The sequence below is a fragment of the Homo sapiens genome, chromosome 10 (genome assembly GCF_000001405.40).
Source record: "Homo sapiens chromosome 10, GRCh38.p14 Primary Assembly".
Lineage (NCBI taxonomy): Eukaryota > Metazoa > Chordata > Mammalia > Primates > Hominidae > Homo > Homo sapiens.
Genome location: NC_000010.11, coordinates 73297404 through 73322952, shown reverse-complemented (window position 1 = coordinate 73322952; position 25549 = coordinate 73297404). Strand labels below are relative to the sequence as shown.

The 25549-nt window shown below is 38.0% G+C and overlaps 1 protein-coding gene and 1 non-coding gene across 23 annotated transcripts in view; both read left to right on the top strand.

Moving 5' to 3' along the window:
• Positions 1-25549, top strand: part of CFAP70 (cilia and flagella associated protein 70) — a 109218-nt gene that overhangs the window by 40027 nt on the left and 43642 nt on the right. For 20 of the 22 annotated variants that reach the window (XM_047424551.1, XM_017015627.2, XM_017015621.2 and 17 more), the window contains 5 exons: positions 10310-10480; positions 11039-11119; positions 12704-12795; positions 23288-23348; positions 23852-24046. In XM_047424551.1, the coding sequence (XP_047280507.1) occupies positions 10310-10480; positions 11039-11119; positions 12704-12795; positions 23288-23348; positions 23852-24046 (600 nt within the window). The remainder of the gene's footprint in view (positions 1-10309; positions 10481-11038; positions 11120-12703; positions 12796-23287; positions 23349-23851; positions 24047-25549) is intronic. The other 2 variants (XM_017015622.2, XM_017015624.2) reach the window with 2 other exon arrangements.
• Positions 21069-21172, top strand: LOC124902577 (small nucleolar RNA U13). Its single transcript, XR_007062410.1, has one exon. It is a non-coding gene; the product is annotated as a small nucleolar RNA U13 (small nucleolar RNA).

The window sequence follows — 25549 nt, the reverse complement described above, 5'->3', positions numbered from 1 at the left end:
ATTGCATAAAAATCATCATGGTAATTTATCCTTTATATATCTGTTTACTTACATCTTTAGCATATACATCTTTGCAACTGATATTTAGAACCAGTTGGTATACTAGGATATTAAATATATAGCCTTACAGTCATTCTGCATTGGACCTTTAAAAATTTAGGATAATGAAAGGACAAAAACTGAAAACCTAAATCTCTATCAACAGGTGAACAGAGAACACAGAAAAACAAATTGTGTGGTACCTCTGTATGATGGAATACTACTCAACAATAAAAAGAAATGAGCTAATGATACATGCAACAGCACAGACTAAAATGCATTATGCTAAATGAAAGAAGCCAGACAAAAGAGAGAAAAGAGAGTACTTTTTTTTTTTTTTTTTTTTTAGAGATGTGGGTCTCACTTTGGAGTGCAGTGGCACAATCATAGCTCACTACTGCCTCAAATTCCTGGGCTCAAGGGATCCTCCTGCCTCAGCCTTTTGAATAGCTGGGACTACAGATGTGCACCACTGTGCCTGGCTATTTAAAAACATTTTTTAAAATAGAGACAGGGTCTTGAAAAGTACATTTTATATAATTACATTTATATGCAATTCTGGGAAAATAATTTATCTATATTGATAAAAAGCAGATTAATGGTTACCTGGGAACAGGGATAGAAGGAGGGATGTATTACAAAGGAATGAGAGGAAAATATTAGGGATGATGGAAATGATGGTTATCTTGATTGTGATGATGGTTTCATACATATACACATATGTCAAAATTGATGAAATGATATACTTTAAATATGTATGGTTTATTTTTTATTGTACTTTAATTTTACCTCAATAAATTTGGATACAAAACTTTCAGCATTTTAAGTGTGACTGGGTGTGGTGGCTCACACCTGTAATCCCAGCACTGTGGGAGGCAGAGGCAGGCAGATTGCCTGAGGCCAAGAGTTGGAAACCAGCCTGGCCAACATGGCAAAAACCCGTCTCTACTAAAAATACAAAAATTTGCCGAGTGTGGTGGCAGGCATCTGTAATCCCAGCCACTCAGGAGGCTGAGGCAAGAGAATTGCTTGAACCTGGGAGGCGGAGGTTACAGTGAGCTGAAATTGCACAACTTCATTACAGCCTGGGCAACAGAGCAAGACTCTGTCTTAAAAATATATATATAAGAAAAAGAAAAAAAAAGTCTGTTGTTGTTAAATATGGAAAAACTGAAATCCATGTGGTAATTAATGAACTAGAATATGAACTATAATTTTTTTTTTCCATTTTTAGGTGTAAAAATGTTAAAATCATATATTCGAGCAAAAAATCAGTTTCATCATGTTGCTTCCTAGGAGAAAATGAGGCTTTGTAAAACACACAACAATAACAAAAATCTATTATTATGTCACTGTTATTAGGACAGCTATTTTTCAGTAATAAATTTATGAAAACCCCATCATCTAGTTGTACACTAACTGAGTAGTAAACTGTTTCTACATCAGTATCTTTTGAACTAGAAGCCACATTTATAGGAATTCATTTATTTGTTTTTGAGATGGAGTCTCGCTGTGTTGCCCAAGCTGGAGTGCAATGGCGTGATCTCGGCTTACTGCAACCTCTTTCTCCCGGGTTCAAGCAATTCTCCTGCCTCAGCTTCCCAAGTAGCTGGGATTACAGGTGCATGCTACCACGCCCGGCTATTTTTTTGTATCTTTAGTAGAAACTAGGTTTCACCATGTTAGACAGGCTGGTCTTAAACTCCTGACCTCAGATGATCCACCCACCTTGGCCTCCCAAAGTGCTGGGATTACAGGCATGAGCCACTGCGCCCGGCCAGGAATTTATTTTAAGGACATAATTTAATAGGTTCAAAAATCTCATATTCATGAAAACTTTTTGAAACCTATAATAGCAAAAACTAAAAATGAGGTTAAATGTTTACTAATAGAGGAAGGCTTAGTAAATCATAGTAAGTAAAAATGATGAAATATGTAGCCATTAAAAATAATACTTTATAGGCCACGCCTATAATCCCAGCACTCTAGGAGGCCGAGGCGGGCGGATCACCTGAGGTCAAGAGCTTGAGACCATCCTGGCCAACATGGTGAAACCCTGTCTTTACTAAAAATACAAAAATTTGCTGGGCGTGATGTTGTGTGCCTGTAGTTCCAGCTATCAGGAGGCTGAGGCAGGAGAATTGCTCGAACCTGGGAAGCAGAGGTTTCAGTGAGCCGAGATTGTGCCACTGCACTCCAGCCTGGAGACAGAGCGAGACTCCCTCTCAAGAAAAAAAAAAAAAGGATAATTATTAATGTTTTATAGATAGTTAAATGGGAAAGAAGGCTGGGCATGGTGGCTCACACCTGTAATCCCAGCATTTCAGGAGGCTGAGGTGGGAGGATCACTTGAGCCCAGGAGTTCAAGACCACCCAGGGCAAAATAGCAGGACCCTATCTCTACAAAAAAAATTTTTTTTTAATTAGCAGAGCATGGTGGCACATTCCTGTAGTCCCAGCTACTCCAGAGGCTGAGGTAGGAGGATGGATGGAGCCAAGGAGGTCAAGGCTGCAGTGAGCTGTGATTGTTCTACTGTACTCCGCCTGAGTGACAGAGTGAGACCTTGTCTCAAAAAAAATTAAAAATAAAAAAAATGAGAGAAAAGAATGCAAATGTTACATATAATATAGATCAAAATAAATTTCAAATGAATTTATTAAAATAAGTTAAATGTGAAGACTATAAAAATGAATATTAAAGATATGAATTAAGAGAAAACTTCCTAGGCTTGAAAGCAGTGAAAAGTATGAAAGAAAGTATTTCGTTTACCAAAAACATCAAGTTTCTATATATAAAATAAACCTTCATAAACAAAATTAAAATGTAACTGAAGAACTAGGGAAAATATTTGAATACATATCAGAAAGATAGCTACTATTTCTGAAATACAGTAGTTTCCTGAGAGATAGCTACTATTCCTGAAATATAGTAGTTTTTTCAATCTAGAAGAATAACAAACTTTTTCTTAATGGGCAAGGTATGTGAAATAGCAGTTCACAAAAGAAGTGTCAATGGCCAACAGATATAAGAAGAGACATCTGGCCTTATTTATTAATCAAGGAATTATAAATTTAAATAACGGTAGTTATCATTTTACTTGAGAAGTTCAACAATTCTTTAAAATATGATAATGCCCATTGGTGGTAAAGGTGTGATAATGTTATAGAACCAAACTGATGTTTGCTCACCTGGTACAGTAAAACCACATATATGCACCAAGGTTTGCAGTGATAGAAAGAAAGGCTTTCATTGCAGGGTGTCAAGCAAGGAAGACCAGGCGCTAAATTATCAAATCCTGACCTCCCTGATGGCTTGCAGGCAATGATTTTTAAAGGCAGAGGTAAATTTCAGGAAAGCAGAAGCTACAGGCAAAATCATAAATCAATATATGCAAGTTACACATTGGTTTAAGCTTAAAAGGGCAGGATATGTTGAGGTGGGGGTAGGGGGGCTTGCAAGTGGTAGGTAGATTCAAAGATTTTCTGATTTGCAATTGTTAAGGAAGAGAGGCTTTGTTTAAAAATTTGGGGTCGTAGAAAAATGTTAACTGGCTAGGGGGAGTGACTTTCTCCAAGCACCCCAGGAAGAAGTTTAGAACAAAGGACCATATAGTTGAGTCTTCACTTCCTCCTTAGCTGGAGGCTGATCCATTCAGCTGATCTGAGTGCCGGCTGATCCTTTCAGTGGTTTCTCAGTGGGGTCTGAAGCTCAGAAAGAAACTCAAGGACATATATTAAGACGTTATGTTTAGTTTCTATAAAGCAAACATCTCTTGAACTTTAACTTCCTTGGTTATTGTTTTAGGCTACTATTACCTTCTTGTTTAAGTTACTTATTTATTTCTGGGGCTAGCTAGGTGCCTAGAATTTCTCTTGAAGGAACTTCAGAATTTTCTATTATTTCCATGTCTGGGGAGCACAGGCCTCTAAAAAGAGGATCCTTGCTCCATCTCAGTAAAACAACTTTCATTCACTGCTCGTAGAAGCGTAATTGGTAAAAACTTTTTGCAAAAAATGTATTGTCCATATGTATTCAAAAGCTTGAAATACTTATATCCTTTCCAATAGGACTTCTACTTCTAGGAAACTATTTCAAGGGAATAATTGGAAATGTATCCAAACCTTTCTATATGAAGATACTCTTGTTGAATCTGAGGGAAACAGTGTATCATAATAGAAAAGTTATGAGGTTTGATAACCCATTCAGGCAGCCTGGAGTTTGAATTCTGAAACTGCCATTTACTAGCTGGATGACTTCAGGCAAGTGACTAAATTTGTCTCACCTTTACTGTATTCATCAGTAAAATGGAGGCAATGCTTGTTTCCTAGAATTGTTTTACCTATTAAATGAGATGAAATATATAAAGCACTAGGAATGTAGTTGGCACACAGAAAATTTTAACTGTCCCTTTTATTATACACATATGATAGGGGAATATTGTTCATATATTAAAAATTATCCTCATGAAAAATTTTAAAACATGAAAGAATGCAAATGATAGTCTGTTAAATGAAAGTCAAAATATAAATATGATAACATTTTTTCACAATAATTTAAAAAATATATAGAAAACATTGGAAAGGAAATATCTCTGGCTATGGCCAAGTGAGGAGGTTGACAAATCATCTCCCCACAAAAGCAACCATAAAGCTGGACAAATGGACAAAAAGTCATTTCACCATCCTCAAAATTGCCCAAAAGCATCAACAAGCTGAGAACTACTAATGCATGAAAAGCTAAGGAGTTTGAGGCCTTCGTGTCTGGGGCTGCTCTGCCTTCCCCACCCTCACCTTTAGCTCAAGAATGCATGAAAGATGATCCAGTGGGGGTGAGCTGAATGCCAAGCCCCATCGCTACTCTGTCTCATTACAATCATGATGGAAGGCAAAGGGGAAGCAGGCATGTCACATGGTGAGAGAAAGAGCATAAAAGAGAGGAGAGCGGTGCCAGATTACTTTTTAACAAGCAGATCTCTTTGTAACTAACAGTGAGAACTCATTACTTCAAGGATAGCACCAAGCCATTTATGAGAGATCTACCCCGTGACCCTAACACCTCCCACCAGGCCCTACCTACAACACGGGATCACATTTCTTTTTTCTTTCTTCCTTTTTTTTGAGACGTGGTCTTCTCACTCTGTCACCCACTGGAGGGGGCTCACATTTTAACATGAGATTTCTAGAGGATAAAGAGCCAAACTACATCAAAATGGCAATCTTGGTGGAAGGCAACCAACAATATGTAGTAAGAGTCCCAAGAGGGAAGAGTATAAAGATATAATGTCTGAAAATATCCCACATTTGATGAAGACATGAATTTACAGATCCAAGGAGTTCAGAAAATCCCAGTTAGGATCAGCACACAGAGACCCAAAATATACACATTATATATAGTCAAATGAAAGAGAGAGACAAAGAGAACATCACGAATGCAACAGGAGAAAAACAACTCATCACTTACAGGGGAGAATCAATATGGTTAACCACTGATTTTTCATCTGAAACAATGGAAGCCAGAAGGCAGTGGAATAACATATGCAAAATTCTGAAAGAAAAACACACATACACAAAAACTACCAACCAAAAACAAAGGCAGGGCTGGGTGCGGTGGCTCATGCCTGTAATCCCAGCACTTTGGGAGGTAGAGGTGGGTGGATCACCTAAGGTCAGGAGTTTGAGACCAGCCTGGCCAACATGATGCAACCCTGTATCTACTAAAAATACAAAAGTTACCTGGGCATGGTGGCGTGCACCTGTAATCCCAGCTGCTCAAGAGGCTGAGGCAGGAGAATTCCTGAGGCAGGAGGTTATAGTGAGCCAAGATCGTGCCACTGCACTCCAGCCTAGATGACAGAGTGAGACTCTCTCTCAATAAAAGAAACAAAAACAACAAAGGTAAAATAAAGACATCCCCAGATAAATGCTGAAAGAATTTGTTGCTAGGAAACATGCCTTGCAAGAAATACTAAAGGAGGTCTTTCAGCTTGAAAGGAAATGGCATCAGTTGCTAACTTGAATCCATAAGAAGAAATGAGGAATACTTGAAATGGTTATAAGTTAATACAAAGGAGTTTAGAAATAGATCTTTTTCATTTTTACTCTTCTTTAGAAGACATGATTGGATAAAGTATTAGTTATACTGTTGGGTTAACATATAGATTTAATTTATATGATAATAGCATAAAGGAAGGAGGATAGAATGGAGCTATAGCAGAGCAAAATTTCTGTATTTTACCAGAATTAAGTTAGTATTGATGTGAAATAGATTGTTATTAGTTAGGATGTATATTGTAATCCTAAGTAACCACTAAGAAAATTGTGCGTGTATACATACACATATGCACATATATGTGTGTATGTCCATACATATTATATATACATATATATTTATGTGTACGTCATATATATATATATATATATATATATCTATATCTATATATATATATATATCTCAACAAAGGAATTAAATGGGATATCACAAATATTTATTTAACATAAGGTAGTTAAAGGAAGAACAGAACAACAAAAAACAGATGATATATAGAAAACAAATAGCATGGAAAATAAAAATCTAAGTATTTCAACAATAATATTATATGTAAGTGATCTAAAAACACTGATAAAAGGATAGAAATTATTAAATTGGATTTACAAAAAAATCAAGATTCAACTATATACTGTTTATAGTAGACACACCTTAGGTTCAAATACACAGAAGTTTGAAGTAAAAAGGTACAAAAGATATACTATGGAAACAGAAAATGTAATAGCTGAGTAACTACAATAATACCAGACAAAATAGTTTTTAAGACTAGAAATACATATTACTGAAGACAGAATGGCCTGTCACAATGATTAAAGCATCAATTCATCAGGAAGACAGGACAATTATAAGTGTATACACACTTAACAGTACAACACAATCACCTCATAATACTTGAAGCAAAACCCAACAGAATTGAAAGGAGAAATAGGCAATTTGGCAATAATATTTAGAAATTTCAGTATCCTACTCTCAATACTTGAAAAGACAACTGTATGGAAAATCTGGCCAGGTACAGTGGCTCAAGCCTGTAATCCCAGGACTTTAGAAGGCTGAAATGAGAGGATTGCTTGAGCTCAGAAGTTGGAGACCAGCCTGGCAAAATGGCAAAACTCTGTCTCTACAAAAAATAAAAAAGTTGTCTGGGTGTGTTGTTTGTGCATGCCTGTGGTCCCACCACTTGGGAGGCTGAGGTAGGTGGATCACTTGAGCCCAGCAGGCAATCAAGGCTGCAATGAGCTGTGATCATGCCACTGCACTCCAGCTTGGGTGACAAGAGTGAGACCCTGTCTCAAAACAACAACAACAAAAAAGAATATCTATGGTAAGTATAAACTTACCATACAACCCAACAAATCATTTCTAGGAATTTCTAAGAGAAAAGAAAACCTGTATTTACACGAAGACATATATGTGAATGTTTATTGCAGCATTATTTGTAATAGCTAAAAGCTCACAATAATACAAATGTCTGCAGATAGTGAATAGATAAACAAAATGTGGTATATGTATACAAGGGAATACTATTTTGCAGTGAAAAGAAATTAACTACTAATGATGTAAAATCTCCAAATCACTGAATCATGCTCTTTAAATGTGTACATTGTATATATGTGAATATCTCAATAAAGCTGTTTTTTTTTTTTTTTTTTTTGAGATGGGGTCTCACTCTGTCACCCAGGCTAGAGTGCAGTGGTACTATCATAGCTCACTGCAGCCTTGAACTACTGGGCTCAAGTGATCCTTTGCCTTAGCCTCCTGAGTAACTGGACTATAGGCATATGCCACCACATCCAGCTAATTAAAACAAAAAATTTTTTTTGTAGAGACAGTCTCACTGTGTTGCCCAGGCTGGTATCAAACTCCTGGGCTCAAACGATCCTCCTGCCTTGGCCTCCCAAAGTGCTGGGATTACAGGTGTGAGTAACCGTGCCCAGCCTGTTTTTTAAAAAAAGTAGTGAACTTGGGCCAGGTGTGGTGGCTCACACCTGTAATCCCAGCACTTTGGGAGGCCGAGGTGGGCAGATCATTGAGGCCAGGAGTTTGAGACAAGCCTGGGCAACATGGTGAGACCCTATCTTTACAAAAAATACAAAAATTAGCTGGGGTGGTGGCATGTGCCTGTGTCCCAGCTACTCAGGAGGCTGAGGTGAGCTGATGGCTTGAGCCCAGAAGGTAGAGGTTGCAGTGAGCTGTGATTGTGCCACTGCATTCCAGTCTAGGTGACAGAGTGAGACTCTGTCTCAAATAAATAAATAACTAAAATAAAAAATAAAAAAGTAATGAACCAACTGACACATGCTATAGCATGGACGAACCTCAAAAACATGCTAAGTGAAAGAAGGCAGATGCAAAAGACTATGTATTGTATGATACCACTTATATGAAATACTCTTATTATAGAACATACCCCAGAGATGTTAAAATTTGAGAAAGCTTGTGTCTTTGAATCTATGAAATACAGTATTTATCACAGAGGTGGTAGGATTGTGAGTGATTTTTAGTATTTACAATTAATATTGTTGGATTGTTTTCAAACAGCTTTATTGAGGTATAATTGATAAACTGCATTTATTTAAATTGTACAATATTAAAGTTTTGACATATCTGTACATCTGTGAAACTGTCACCACAATCAAGATAATGAACATACACACATTACCCCCCAAAGTTTTTTGTGTCTTCTATTATTCCTTTGCCCACCTCTGTCCACCCCTCCCCTCTCGCCTGGCCTCCTTTGGTCTGGTTCTTTTCATTCAACATAAATTATTTTGAGAATCATCCATGTTCTTTAATTAAAAAATTGTTTATTTCAAAAAAGAATTTTTAGGGAAAAATTGTTGTAAAATCCTTTTCTGGTGGTTTATCTATAGTTTGAATTTTTCCATACAAAGGTTTTTCTTTGAACTTTAAACTTGCTTTATCCTTCCAATTATAACTGATAGGTCAGTGGTAACTAAATAGATACTATTTCTTGTATAGAAGTGAATTCAGCCTGTTAATTTAATTTTAATTTTTTTTCCTTTTTTGAGACGGAGTCTCACTCTATTGCCCAGGCTGCTGTGCAGTGCACCATCTCAGGTCACTGCAACCTCCGCCTCCCAGGTTCAAGTGATTCTCCTGCCTCAGCCTTCCCAATAGCTAGGATTACAGCTGCATGCAACCACACCCGGCTAATTTTTGTATTTTTAGTAGAGACAGGGTTTCACCATGTTGGGTAGGCTGGCCTTAAACTTCTGGTCTCAAATGATCCGCCTGCCTCGGCCCCCTAAAGTGCTGGGATTACAGGTGTGAGCCACCGCACCTGGCCTTTTTTTTTTTTTTTTTTGAGACAGAGTCTTGCTGTGTAGCCCAGGCTGGAATGCAGTGGTGTAGTCATGGCTCACTGTAGCCTTGACTGCTTGGGTTCAAGTGATTCTCCCACCTCAGCCTCCCCAGTAACTAGGACCACAGTCATGTGCCACCATACCTCGCTGATTTTTTTTTTTTTTTTTTTTTTGAGACAGAGTCTCGCTCTATCGCCCAAGCTGGAGAGCAGTGGCATGATCTTGGCTCACTGCAAGCTCCGCCTCCCAGGTTCACACCATTCTCCTGCCTCAGCCTCCCGAGTAGCTGGCACTACAGGCACCCGCCACCACGCCTGGCTAATTTTTTGTATTTTTAGTAGAGACGTGGTTTCACCGTGTTAGCCAGGATAATCTCAATCTCCTGACCTCGTGATCCACATGCCTCGGCCTCCCAAAGTGCTGGGATTACAGGCATGAGCCACCACGCCCGGCCCACCTCGCTGATCTTTTTGTTTTGTTTTTAGTAGAGATGAAGTCTCACTATTTTACCCAGGCTGGTCTTGAACTGCTGAGCTCACACAATCCTCCTGCCAAAGTTCTGGGATTACAGGTGTGAGCCACCATGTCTAGCCTAATTCGAAATTCTGTGTCAAAGATTAAAAGCATTCTGATTACAAGAGTTATGAGATCCCAGAATCAAGCCAGGTTGTAAGGTCTCCTTTAAATCCTTTAAATGGTAGAGTAGGCAACTAACTTTCTGTGGTGGTTTTACCTGTTCTAGAAGGAGGGAAATACAATGAAGTCTTTCAAGTCCCTTCTCTCTCTCTGATATTAAATGTCGAAATTGTTTGGAAGACTAAATGGTAAAAAAAAATAATGTGTATTTCTTTCAAGTTTGTCTCATGTATTGCTTTTTTTTGTTTGTTTTTTTGTTTTTCAGACCAAATGTTTATTGAGCTTGTTCCGGGATATTGGCCATCACTTGATTCATAATAATAAAATAGGAGGAATTAATTCTCTGCTGTCCAAACAAGCTGTTTCTAAGAATCTGAAAGAAGATAAACCAGTGAAAGAAAAGGATATAGATGGAAGGCCTAGGCCTGGGGATGTGGTAGGTTGTTGAGAAGGTGATGATTTTGCCTCTTAGATTACATTCCAGAGGCTTCACTGATTTCTCACTTGGTGACTGGTATCAATGTTAGTTTGCATTTTTTTTTAATTTTACTTTAAGTTCTGGGATACATGTGCAGAATGTGCAGGTTTGTTACATAGGTACACATGTGCCATGGTGGTTTGCTGCACCTGTCAACCCGCCATCTAGGTTTTAAGCCCCACATGCATTAGGTATTTGTCCTTAATGCTCTTCCTTCCCCTTGGCCCTTACCCCCGACAGGCCCCAGTTTGTGATGTTCCCCTCCCTGTGTCCATGTGTTTTCATGGTTCAACTCCCACTTATGAGTGAGAACATGCGGTATTTGGTTTTCTGTTCCTGTGTTAGTTGCTGAGAATGATGGTTTCCAGCTTCATCCATCCCTGCAAAGGACACAAACTCATTCTTTTTTATGGCTGCAGTTAGTTTGCATTTTGATGCAGTGTAGAGAACATTGTTCTTGTCACTATGAAGACTGTGTAGGAATTCAATTTTTGAGGTGTGTTCATTTTCTTTCAGCAGGCACCTAGTATAAAATCTCAGAGCTCAGATACTCCTTTGGAAGGTGAACCCCCTCTAAGTCACAATCCTGAAGGACAGGTAATTGTGCATGAAGTTTGGAAAATTAAGTTTAAGTTAACCAGACCTTTATTAAGCAAGGCATTTTCAATGGAAAATGCTCAGGCAGGATGTTAGTTATCATTCCATATTTGCCCATGACTAGTTGTCTATGACTTTGGGCAAATTTCTTTGTCTTGTTGAAACTCTGTAAAGTGAACTGGTGCCAGGTTAATTTTAAGGTCCTTTCCAGCATTAAAATATTATATCTTTTGTTAATTCTACTATGTTAAACATTATAAGGGATGTAAAGATGCATCATCTGCAGCATTTATTCATCTGCTTTCAGGAAACTCAGCATCTGGTAGGAGAAACAGACTGGTATATAACTAATCATAGTATATAATTTTGATGAGTGCTGTAATAGAGGTACAAATAAAAGTTCTGTGTGGGCTCTGAGGAGACAAATATTAGGATGGGGAAGTCTAAGGGAAGGCTTCATGGAGGAGGTGATATCCATACTAAGTAGTGAAAGATGAAGAGACCTGTTTGCCATAAGAAGATGGAGGGAGAGGCATTTCAGAGCCAGGGAACAGCTTGAGAGAGAATAACAGAGAATTTGCAAGAGCAGAATTTAGGCTGTCTCAGTTAATTGCAGTGTATGGTATATAGAGAAATTAAAGGAGAGATTCTATAAAGAGTTAGGAAAGAAGAAAGAGGCTGAATCAGGTAATGGAAAGACTTGAAAGGCTTATTTAAAAGTTTGGACTTCATTGTATAGCTGATGACAGATTCTTGAACCTCTTCTTGGAGATTCACATCAAAGGTTTCAAAGTCATAGAAATAAGACCTCATGTGTGTTTCAGGTCGGAATTCTTGCAAGGGTATGAAAAAAAGAGATTGAAGGTGGGGTAGGGCTGCAGGCTTTTCTTGTAGTATAGATGAGTGTTGATGACAGTTTTATTTAGGACAGGGGTTGTAGTAAAGAAAGTCAGAAACCTGGAGAGGCAAGGAGTTTGCAATTGGGAAGCTTTGGGGGTATTGATGAGAAAAGTTAAGGATAACTCAGGTTGCAAGCCTCACTTTCTGGAAGGATGACAACACCATTAAGAGAAAAATCAAGAGAGATTGACATTGGGGAAATAATAAATTCAATTTTGGACATGTATTTAGGATGCTGGCAAAAATCTGGGTAGAGCTGTCCAGCACTTGGAGTTGGTAGATGGTAGTGAGGAGACTGTGAGTGGGAATGTAAGAAGGTTATGAAGAGAATTTTTCTGCAGGACCACCTGAAAGAAGGTTGCTGGAAGAAAGAAAGGCATTCACTTAAAACAGTTCCTGGGAAAGTATTGAGAACAAGTTAAACAGGGCTTCAGCCTTGTTACACTGTAGAAGCTTCCAAGAATAAAACTGAAAATCCTTTCCTCTAAGAGATAACCACTGTTGCTATATTTCTTTCCAGTTATTTTTCTATGTGAAAAGTATTTTAACAGTTGAGATCACACTGTATATGTAGTTATATATGCAGTTTTCTCACTTATTATATTGTGAGCATCATCTTATGTTACTAAATTTTTCATAAATATATTTTTTTCTGGAAATAATAAGAAAACAATGTCTTTACAGCAATATGTAGAAGCAGGGACATACATTGTGTTGGAAATTCAGCTGGACAAAGCCTTGGTTCCAAAGCGAATGCCAGAGGAGCTAGCCAGAAGGTTTGTAGCTATGGTGCTTATACTAGTTTTGTACAATTTGGGTATAAATAAGAGGAAGTCAGATTGTCCCCACGATTGTAATTTCCCTTGGGCTAAGCAGGAGTTATCTGGTTTTTTTCTAGATGAAGTTTTTGTTGTTGTTGTTATTTTTGTTACCTTATCACAAAAGCATTGCATGCTCACTATAAAAATTTTTAGGAAGCTGGGTGCGGTGGCTCATGCCTGTAATCCTAGCAGTTTGGGAGGCCAAGGTGGGGGGGATTGCCTGAGCTCAGGAGTTTGAGACCAGCCTGGGCAACACGGTGAAACCCCGTCTCTACTAAAATACAAAAAATTAGCCGGGCATGGCGGCATGCACCTGTAACCTCAGCTACTCGGGAGGCTGAGGCAGGAGAATTGCTTGAACCTGGGAGGCGGAGGTTGCAGTGAGCCGAGATCGCACCACTGCACTCCGGCCTGAGAGACAGAGAAAGACTCTATCTCTAAAAAAAAAAAAAAATTCTTAGGAAATACGGATGAACAAGAAAGTATATAAAAATACCCAAGGTCAGGTGTGGTAGCTCATTCCAGCACTTTGAATCCCAGCACTTTGAAAGGCCAAGGCGAGAGGATCACTTGAGCCCAGAGGTTTGAGACCAGCTTGGGCAACATAGTGAGACCCCATCTCTATAAAAAATTAAAAAATAAAAACATCCAGATCTCTACTCACCTAGTGATAACTGCTTTTAACACCTTGGTGTTGTTATCCTTCTGGAGTTATTTTAAAGCCCCCTATATTACACATACACACATAAACACACACACGCATGTTACATATACATATATGTAATTTAAAAAAACTGTTTATATTGTACCATAGTGCTTTGCTTGTGTGCTACTAGGAAACTGTGCATTCATCTGGGTTATTCAACTTGTTCGCATACAATTGTTCATAGTATTCTAATACTCCTTTTTATCCCTCTAAAATTGGTAGTAATGTTTCCACTTTCATGTCTTCTCTCTTTTTTCAGTCAGTCTTGCTAAAAGTTTGTCAATCTTGTTGATCTTTTTGAAAAACCAACTTTTAAAGCTTATTGATTTTCTCCATTATTTTTCTATTCTCTAATTTGTTTTTACTCTAATCTTCATTCTTTCTTTTATTATGTCTTCTGCTAGCTTTGGGCATAGTGTGCCCCCCTTTTGCTAGTTCCTTAAAGAATACAGTTATGTTATTGATTTTGAGTTTTCTTCTTCTTTAGTGTATGTGTAGAGAACTATATATTTCCCTCTGAGCACTGCTTTCACTGCATTTCATAATTTTTTATTTGGTTTTTGTTTTCATTTGTCTAAAGGTTTTTTTTTTTTTTTCATTTCTCTTGTGATTTCTTCTTTGAACCATTGGTTGAATGTGTTGCTTAAATTTTCTTATTTCAGTTATTTAATATTCTTATTTTCTTAATTTTAAGTCTTCTGTTACTGGGTTTTAGTTCTATTTCCTTGTGATCAGAAAATATGCTTCATATGATTTCAATCTTTTTTTTTTTTTTTTTGAGACGGAGTTTCACTCTTGTTGCCCAAGCTGGAGTGCAATGGTGTGATCTCAGCTCATGGCAACCTCTGCCTCCTGGGTTCAAGTGATTCTCCTGCCTCAGCCTCCTGAGTAGCTAGGATTACAGGCATGTGCCATCACACCTGGCTAATTTTGTATTTTTAATAGAGACGGGGTTTCTCCATGTTGCTCAGGCTGGTCTCGAACTCCTGACCTCAGGTGATCTGCCCGCTTCGGCCTCCCAAATTGCTGGGATTACAGGCATGAGCCATCATGCTCAGCCATGATTTCAATCTTTTAAAGTTTATTGATCCTTGTTTTGTGGCCTGACATACGGTATACCCTGCAGAATGTTCTATGTGCACTTGAGAAGAATGTGTTATCTGTTGTTATTGGGTGGAATGTTCTATATATGTCTGTTAGGTCTAATTGGTTTATAGGGTTGTTCAAATCCTTTCTTTCTTTCTTTCTTTTTTAGATAGAGTCTCGCTCTGTCACCCAGGCTGGAGTGCAGTGGCATGATCTTGGCTCACCGCAACCTCTGCCTCCCGGGTTCAAGCAATTCTCCTGCCTCAGCCTCCCAAGTAGCTGGGACTATAGGAGCACATCGCTGCACCCAGCATTTTTTTTTTTTTTTTTTGTATTTTAGTAGAGATGGAGTTTCACTGTGTTGCCCAGGCTGGTCTTGAACTCCTGAGCTCAGGCAATCTGCCCGCCTCAGCCTCCCAAAGTGCTAGGATTACAGGCATGAACCACCATGCCCGGCCCAAATCCTTTATTTTTTTACTAATTTCCTGTCTGGTTGTTTTATCCATTATTGAAAGTAGAGTATTGAAGTCTCTATTATTGTAGGACTATCAGTTTCTCCCTTCAATTCTATCAGTTTTTGCTTTATAAATTTTGGGGTTCTGTTGTATATGTTTATAAATGTTGTATGGGGTTCTGTTGTATATGTTTATAAATGTTGTATTTTATTGCTGTATTTAACCTTTTATCAATATTTAATGTCCTTATTTGTCTCTTGTACCCTCTTTTTATTTGAAGTTTATTTTGTCTGACAGTAATATAGCCATCTCAGCTCTTTTTTACTATTTGTATGGAATATCTGATTTTATCCTACCTTTGACTTCCTCCTGTCCTTACATCTAAAGGGAGTATCTTGTAGACAGCAGATAGATGGATTCTGTGTGAGTTTTTCTAATCTAATCTGCCAGTGTCTGCTTTTTAATAGGAAAGTTTAATCCATTTACATTTAATGTGATTACTGATAGAGAAGGATTTACTTCTGCCATTTATCTGTTTGTTGTCTTCATGTCTTATTTTTTTTTGTTCTTCAGTTCCTTTATTGCTGCCTTTTTATATTTAGCTGATTTTTTGCAGTATGCCATTTGGATTTCCCTCTTCTTTCCTTTTCTGTGTATTTTTTTAGTTGTTGTCTTAGTAATTAACTTGGAGACAACAATTAGCACCTTAAACCTGTAACAGCTTAGTTTGAATACAAACTTAATTTCAGTACTATACACTCTGCTCCTATACATCTCCATCCCTCCCGTTACATTGTTATTGTCACAGATTACATATTTATCTATTGTGTGCCTACTAACATAGACTTATCATTATTATTTTATGCATTTGTCATCAAAAAAAAGAGGAGAGAAAGAGGAGTTACAAGTTGAAAGTGCAATAATACTGGCTTTCATATTTACCTTTACTAGTGTTCTTTATTCCTTCATCTGACTTCAAGTTACTGACTAGTGTCCTGTCATTTCAGCCTGAAGGACTCCCTTTAGCGTTCCTTATGAGGTAGGTCCTGTTATCAAACTGTCTTAATTTTGTTTATCTGGGATTGTCTTAATGTCTTCTTCACTTTTGAAGGATAATTTACTAGATATAGAATTCTTTTACCTTTTTTTTCTGTAATTTTTGTAGAGACATAGTCCCACTATGTTTCCCAGGCTGGTCTCAATCTCTTGGCCTCAAGTGGTCATCCCTCCTCAGCCTCCCAAAGTGCTGGGATTATAGGCATGAGACACCTGGATATAGAATTCTTAGTTGTCAATTTTTTTTTCTTTCAGACTTTAAATATGTCATCTCAGTGACTTCTGGCCTCCATGGTTTTGATAAGAAATCAGCTGTTAATCTTATTGAGGATCACTTGTATGTGACAAGTCACACCTCTGTTGCTGTTTTTGATATTTTTTCTTTGTCTTTGTGTTTTGACAATTTGACTATGGTGTGTTTTAGTGTGGACATATGAGTTTTTCCTGCTTGGAGTTTATTAAGTTTCTTGGATGTGTCAATTCATATCTTTCACCAAATTTGGGAAGTTTTGGGCCATTATTTCTTAAAAATTCTTTCTTCCCCCTTTCTTCTCTAGAAAGGGGGAAGTTTCTTCCAGAACTTCCATAATGTGTATGCTGGTCAGCTTGATGGCATCCTATAGGTCTTAAATTCTGTTCACTTTTCTTCATTCTTTTTCTTTCTGTTCCTCAGACTGAATTATTTTAATTGTTCCATCTTCAGTTTTGCCGATTCTTTCTTCTGCCTGATCAAATCTGCTGTTGAACCCTTTAGTGAATTTTTTATTCCAAATATTGTACTTTTAAGCTCCAGACTTCTTGTTTTTTTAAAAAATAATTTCTGTTTCTACTGATACTCTAATTTTGTTCATACATTGCTTTCCTTTTTTCTCTTTGTTTTGTCCGTGGCTTCCTTGAGCTTTTTGAGTGTGTATAGTAAAGTTGATTTAATGTATTTGTGTAGTAAGTTTGATGCCTGGGCTTCTTTAGGGAGAATTTCTATATTTTTTTCTTTGAAAGAGTCATACTTTTATTTATTTGTACTATTTGTATTTTATCATCGTTGAAAACTGGACATGTGGATACTATCATGTGGGAATTTTGGAAATCAAACTTTTCCCTTCGCTACGTTTGGCTGCTTTTTATTGTTGAAGGTGTAACTTGTGTTCAGCCAGTGTTTTGACAGATTTCCTTGAATGCCAGGATCTAAATACAAACAAAAACAAAACAAAAAATCTTTTCTGCCAATCTTTACAGATGGCTCTGTGCTGAGGCATTCTTTTAACATTTAACCAGGCCATTTATATTTCTGCCTCAGCCTTTTCTTCCTGCTTATACTGAACCTGTAGATCAATCAGTGGTGAAAGCATAGGGTTTTCTCTGGTCAACTTTAAGCATACATCCTGTCCTGGGCATACATGTGGCTTTCTGAATTTCCCAGTACACACAAGTACTTTTGAATGCTCTAATTTCCAAAGAAACTCTCCAGCTTTTCTTCTCAGGCTTTAGGTGGTCTATTATATGTCTCAACCATAATGCTTTGCCCCAAACAGCTTTGGGGATTTGATAACCTTACAATGTTTTTGAACAATACTTTTCCACCCTGTGTAGGTTTCAGTGCTTTTCCGCACTGAGTTAGGAGAAACAGAGATGAGTGCCTTGCACCAGTCTCTCAGGCAGTCCCAGACAAGCTAGAACAAACACAGTAATTTGAGAATAAGGTCTGCTCTGCTTCCTCCAGAATCAGGGACCAGTGTGCCACACTAGAAATCCAGGCTGCCACCTTTGAGACTGCTGCTGAGCTGGGGATGCGGTGTGCAGCGGAGCAAGAGCAAGTAAAAATGCCAGAAAGCTTTCCTGCTGATTTAGAATTGCCTTCTTCTGGATTCAGATTCTCTTTGTTACTGTAAACCCTTTTTTCCCAACATTCTAACAAGTTGGTTCTGACAGTTTCAGTTTCTGGTGTGTGTGTTTTTTTTTTTTAAGTTTATCTGGAGGGATGGGAGTTTAGAGTTACCTGCCCGGTCGTTTTGCTGACATCTAGACTTTACCTCTTGATGTGAGGAGCATTATACTCAAAGAAAGATGAAAGAAAATAGCAGCTTCTACCTTGGAGACTATTTATTACATGTATTTTTAAGACTTTAGATAAATATCCCCAAATTGCCTTCCAAAAAATTTACAGTTCTATAAATGATATATGAGACTACTGTTTCTTCACATATTCACCAACACAATACTTTTTTATTTTTGCTATTTTGATGGGGAGAAAAGTTTCTCATTTTAATTTTAATCCACATTGTAAATTGTGTAGTGAAACATTTTTACACATAATTATTAATAATTTGGAAGTTTCTTTTGAGAATTACCTGCTTATAATGGCACATTCATCTTTTATACCTGAGAGTTCTTGAGTTTTTAAAAACTTTGCATTTAGTCCCCTTCCAAAAATAATCTAATAATATTTACCATAAATGGGCCGGGTGCAGTGGCTCACGCCTGTAATCCCAGCCCTTTGAGAGGCCGAGGCAGGTGAATCACCTGAGGTCAGGAGTTCGACACCAGCCTGGCCAATGTGGGGAAACCCTGCCTCTACTAAAAATATAAAAATTAGCCGGGCGTGATGGTGGGTGCCTGTAGTCCCAGCTACTTGGGAGGCTGAGGCAGAATTGCTTGAACCCAGGAGGTGGAGGTTGCAGTGAGCTGAGATCATGCCATTGCACTCCAGCCTGGATGACAAGAGCAAAAAACTCTGTCTCAAAAAAAAAAAATTTACCATAAATGACATACAAAATAAAAGTAATAATCTAGAAATAGTCAAAAACTCAAAACGATGGAAAAGGAAGGCCGCATTAAATAGAGCTCTCATAAATAAGCATCAAATCTGAGCTGTCCAACAAAAAGGGAAGCCCTGTAAGTTATATAATTTTAATCATAAAGGAAGAAGCACATTAGTCACAAAAGAGACCACATTTATTCCTGGCATTAAATTCTAAAACAGATTTCTCATTTGGGCTCTTACATAGGGGAATACAGAGTGACAGTATAACAGTATCCTTAATGACAGTTTTACAACAAATACAGAAGCAATTTTTATGACTTTTATATCTTGAAACTTTTTATCCACTTATAGTACATAAAGTACTCTATATAGTACTTTAAAAACTGTGGTTTATCAATGTTTAAATGTTTTTGGACTTTTTTGTGAGAAACAGTTATTAGCAATAAGTTTTTTTTTTCAAAGGCATTTCTTCTCCAAGCTAGGCCAAGTGATAAAATTATAGAGCAAAAGCTAATTAGAATGGCAACAATAGGCCGGGTGTGGTGGCTCACACCTGTAATCCCAGCACTTTGGGAGGCCAAGGCAGGTGGATCACGAGGTCAAAAGATCGAGACCATCCTGGCTAACACAGTGAAACACTGTCTCTACTAAAAATACAAAAAAATTAGCCGGGCGTGGTGGCGGGCGTCTGTAGTCCCAGCTACTCAGGAGGCTGAGGCAGGAGAATGGTGTGAACCCAGGAGGCAGAGCTTGCAGTGAGCCAAGGTTGTGCCACTGCACTCCAGCCTGGGCAACAGAGTGAGACTCCATCTCAAAACAAAAAAGAATGGCAACAATAGAAAATTGTACTTAGGCTGGGTATGGTGGTTCACACCTGTAATCCTAGCACTTTGGGAGGCTGAGGCAGGAAGATTGCTTGACCTCAGAAGTTTGAGACTAGCCTGGGCAACATAGCAAGACCTCATCTCTATTAAAAATAAAAAAATTAGTTGGGTGTGGTAGTGCATACCTGTAGTCCGAGCTACCCGGTGGTGGGGGGCGGTGGGGTTGCTGAGGCAGGAGGATTGCTTGAGCCTGGAGATCCAGGCTGCAGTGAGCTATGATCATGCCACTGTACTCCAGCCTGGCAACAGAGCGAGACCCTCTCTCAAAAAAAAAAAAAAAAGAAAAGAAAAGAAAAAAGAAAATTATAGTCAATACTTGTAAAAGATTATTTGCCTTTCGTTGCAGGCTGAGCCTGAGGCATGGGTATACCAAACTGCTAAATCTATGTCACTGTATAAGAATATACCTAAATTTAAAGCAGTCTTCAACATATGAAAAGAAACTAAACTATTTCCGTAATAAAATAAATGCACATTAAAACTATGCTGAAGTACCTTGTTTTTTAATTGCTGAAATAAAAAAAGCTTGATAATTTATTGTGTTGTTGAGGATGTTTGGAAACAGGTCCTCTCATATAAGCTGGTGCGAGTATAAACTGGGTAAAATTCCAGTGGAGGGCAATTTGGTAATGCTATCTAAATACAAATTCATGGATCTTTTAACTCTTTGATCAGGTAACTCACTTCCAATAACTTGTCTTCAGATAAATATTGTTATCAAGCTCATCAATGACCACCACACTGTTAAATCCAGTGGTGTGTTCTTGGGGTCATTTTGACCTGTCATCAGCATTTAACTACTCAACCCTCCTTGAGGAACTTTCTTCACTTGGTTGTAAGGACACTATACTCTCCTGGCTTTACTCCTCCCTCCCTGGCCTTCTTTATCTCTCCAGCATCTAAATGTTGGAGTCCCCCAGAGCTCAGTGCTTGAACACCTTTTCTATCTATACTTATTTCCTTGGTTTCTATCTAGTCTCGTGGCTCTAAATACCATCTATACACTGATGGCTCCCACATTTATATTTCAAGCTGAACCTCTCCTAATTCTCACATACTCTTTGGTCAGAGCCATAGTAGTCCCTCATCTGGGACTTACATGTAAGATGTAAGATATACTTAGATGTAAGTTTCCTTACATCTACCATTCTACCCTTCAATTTCTTCTTTTTTATTTTCTAATGATAGCTTTTTCGAGATATTATTCACATACCATATACTTCTCTACCACCATCACCTTTTCTTTCATTTTGTTCACCCATTTAAAGTATCCAGTTCTGATCCCTTTGTAGTTCATAAGCGTGATGATTGGGTGTTCATGCTCATACATGAGCTGTGCCTCCCTCAAGCTTTGTTGTGACATCATCATATTACCTGTCCGATGTGAACTTAGAAAAATAAAAATAAAATAAAGTGTACAATTCAGTGGCTTTTAGTATACTCACAGAATTGTGTAGCCATTCCATAGTCAACTTTATATATACTATCATTACCCCAAAAGTTGAAATCCCATGTACATTAGCAGTCATTCTCCTTTTCCTCTCAACCATCATGCCACCTCTTCCACCCTGAACCCCCAAGTCTAAGCAGCCGTTTATCTACTTTTTTTCTCTATAGATTTGCCAACTCTGGAATCATACAATATGTGGTGACTGGCTTCTTTCATTTAATCTAATGTTGTTAAGGTTTATTCATATTGTGGCATATATCAATACTTAATTTCTTTATTACCAAATAATATTTCATTGTCAAAACAGGAGCAAAAGACAGAGAGAGCAGGGAGGGAGTTGGGGGAGGTGCCACACATTTTTAAATGACCAGATCTTGCAAGCACTTACTCACTATCATGAAGACAGCACCAAGCCATGAGGCATCCACCTCCATGACCCAGACACTTCCCACCAGGCCCCACTTCCAACACTGGGGATTATAATTCAACATGAGATTTGGATGGGGACAAATATCCAAACTATGTCAGTTGCTTCCTCACTTCCCTCAGGTCTTTACTCAAACGTTAACATCTCAGCGAGGCCTTCCTGGTGAAATATGCTCCTGCATTCCACTACCCTCAACCCCCAATAGAGTCTGTCTGCCTTCCTGCATTATTTTTCTCTATGGGACATATTACTAGCATATTTATCTTGTTTGTTTATCTTATTTATTGTCTTTCTTTCCCTACTAGAATGTAAGCTCCATGAGGGTAAGAATTTTTGTCTATTTTGTTTAATGCTCTATTCCCAAACCTAGAAAACTACCTGATGGAAAATAAGCACTCAGTATCTATTTTTATTTTTTTATTTTTTGGGAGACAGAGTCTTGCCCTGTGGCCCAGGCTGGAATGCAGTGGTGCGATCTCAGCTCACTGCACCTCTGCCTCCCAGGTTCAAGAAATTCATGTCTCAGCCTCCTGAGTAGCTGGAACTATAGGCACACACCACTACACCCAGCTAATTTTTTTCATTTTAGTAGAGACAGGATTTCACTATGTTTCTCAGGCTGGTCTCGAACTCCTAAGCTCAGGCAATCCACCCGCCTCGGCCTCTCGAAGTGCTAGGATTACAGGCATGAGCCACCATGGCTGGCCTCTCAGTATCTATTTTGAATGAATGAATAACATTGTCTCTGGAGAGGAAACTAGGAGGCTGGGCAATAAGGTTGGAAGGAGATATTTTGCTATACAGTTTCGTACCTTCTAAATTTTGAATAATATAAATAGATTACCTATTTAAATAAATAGAATTAAAATTAGTAATTATGAACAGAGGTATATCATTACATAGGATCTAGTAAGAAAAATAGATTTTGTGAGTTTGATTGTGGACTTCAAGGTAGTATAATATATTTAGCAAGAACCTGAAACTAAAAGGGAGAAGAGCTATAACTTAATTCCTTCTAGGTTCTTGTAAGGGCTTCTGAAAATAGAAGGTAGAGGTTTTGACATAAGTAGTTTGACATTGACAAAATGTGGTTTTTTACTCACATTTTGGATTAAGTTTTGATAGCATTATTGTAATTTAATGCAGCCCTATAAATTATGCCAAGAGTACACTTTTATTGTAGACGGGGAGGAAAGAAGAGGTTTTGCTTGCCTATTCCACTCAGATTTCCAAATCATTCTGCTTTCAGAGATGTTACTGAGTGCCTCTAAAATGTTGACACCCATTTCTTTCCAAAACCCCAGTCAAACAGCCCTTGTATACCACAAGTTTTTAAATACGTAAGGGTAAAGCCAGGGCTCAAATTAACCAAAAATACAACTTAGATACTCCCTGAGTAGCTGCTTCCTCACCTCCCTTCTGTATGGTCCGTAGCCATATACTTTGCTGTGGTTCACATCTAGGGTTTTACATGAGAGAACAGCACAGTGCTCAAGTGCAGTGGGGGAACAGACCTCAGATCTCCCCCACCCAGACACTTTGAGGATAAGATAAAAGAAAATATACATCTGTAGATAATAAATTTTTTTTTGTTTTTTTATTTTTTTTCTTTCCTGATACAGGGTCAAGGAAATGATTCCTCCAAGGCCTCCTCTTACCCGTCGGACAGGAGGAGCTCAGAAGGCAAGTGCCAAAGCCAAGTTGAAATGATAAGTAATAAGATATTGAGTGCATGCACTTGTTAATTGCATGGACTCTTTAATATGTCTTCCAGAAGGGGTGAAAACTTGTTTGAAGCTTTACGTATTTTCATTGCTGGTTCCATTTGTGATCAATGGCATATAGCATACAGTGTTTAATCTTTGGCTGGTGGTCTCTCAGCTGGGAAGAAAAGGGCATTTTACATTTAAAGTATTACTGGGTGTGGTGGCACACACCTGTAGTCTCAGCTACTAGGGAGGCTGAGGCAGGAGGGTTGCTTGAGGCCAGGAGTTCAAGGGAGAAGTGAGCCATGATCATACCACTGTACTCCAGCCTGGGCGAGAGAGACCTTGTCTCTAAAACAAACAAACAAACAAACAAACTAATAAAGTATCATGGAACATAAAACCAAATCCAGTTTTAGACTTCCAATCCATGCTCTTGACCTCTCTGAGGCGTCTACCAGATGTTTTGTATTTTCTTAGGCAGTGAGTGACTACCACATACAGATCAAGAATATTTCTAGAGCCATTCTAGATGAATACTACAGAATGTTTGGAAAACAGGTGGCCAAACTGGAGAGTGATATGGATAGTGAAACCTTGGAGGAGCAGAAGTGCCAGCTCAGCTATGAACTTAATTGCTCTGGAAAATACTTTGCTTTCAAAGAACAACTCAAGGTAAAACATTCACTTGTTTAATTACTCCATGGGTGTTTATGGAGCAAGTTCTCCACATACCCACATCACATTTTCTCCTCTGATTATGTTCAGCTATACTCTTACCTTTCTTGGTGGGGCAAAGAGCTAAGTTCTCTATGATAGAGTGTCAGGAGAAGCTCCATTCTTTCAGTCTTGGAATAAATTATTACATATATTCTGAACGGGAGCTTTTAAGAAACTAATTATTCACTTGAGGCTGGGCCAGATTTTGTACCAGATTTCATTGTCACTGTAGGAGGCAGAAACTCTGTCTGGTACTGACTCCATAATTAATTCTTCTTGCCTCTCATTCAAATCTCTCTAAAAGAATTAATTTTAGTTTTAAAATTGAAGACGAAACAGTTATCAGAAAGGAGGCCTTAATCATTAGGACTAGAGTAGCATGTCTTGAGTTAGGATACATTTAATTACTGGCATTACATTTTACTTTTTAAAATTCAGAATGTATAAACAAAAACAAAAAACTCCAAATCTTTCCCTAATCTATAGAATCACTAAAATTTGAGAAATAGTTAACTTAATAATCATTTCTTGAATAATAATGGCTAACATTTATTACATGTTTGCTGTTTTCCAGGCCAATTTATCAATGCTTCATATTTTACTAATTTAATCCTTATAACAATCCTATAAAGTAGGTGTTGCTCATTTTATAGATGGGAAAATGCAATATTAGTTGGCTAAGGAATTTGTCCAAAGTCACAGAGATAGTAAAGATCAATGTTGGGATTTAAATTCAGGCAGTCTGGATCCAGAACTCACATTCTTAACTGCTACACTACACTGCCTTTGTACACACATTTACTATGTGTCCTGTACTGTACTAAACAGATATAAAGAAAGAACATGGAAGTCATAGAGTGAAAAACAACAAATGTCCATGGAAGCAAGAGGGTATTCTCAGCAGGTGGTGTCGTCATGTCTCAGTTTGACTCTTGGTTCCACATTTACTAGTTGGGTGACCTTGAAACGTGACTTTATCTCTCTGTGCCTCAGTTTCTTTACCTAACAACAGGGATGAGGTTAATATTATCACATAAGGTCATATGAGAATTAAATAATATAATGCATGGATTATAAAACCTGGCAATAATGTTACCTTAGTGGGGAAAAAAGGAGAAGCTGTCCTGGCTATAGCAACATGCTGTGTTTATATTTGTACAGCATTTTAAGCTTCTATACTTGTCTCTCTTTGGCTTCTCAATCATCTTCTAAAGTAAAATAATAATACCAGAACTACATATCCTCTTAACAAATGAGGAAGCTGAGGTACCAAAGTGTAAAATAATTTATGAAGTTGTACAGTGGCAGCATTAGAACCAGAATTCCATTCTCTGGATTCTCAGCCCAGCCCTTTCTCCCTTTCCCCTTTGAACCATATGGCCACCATGAGAGACATAATGCCTAAACCTAATGCTCAGATTTTCTTCAGCTTTATGATTCTCTTCATATAGTATGAGC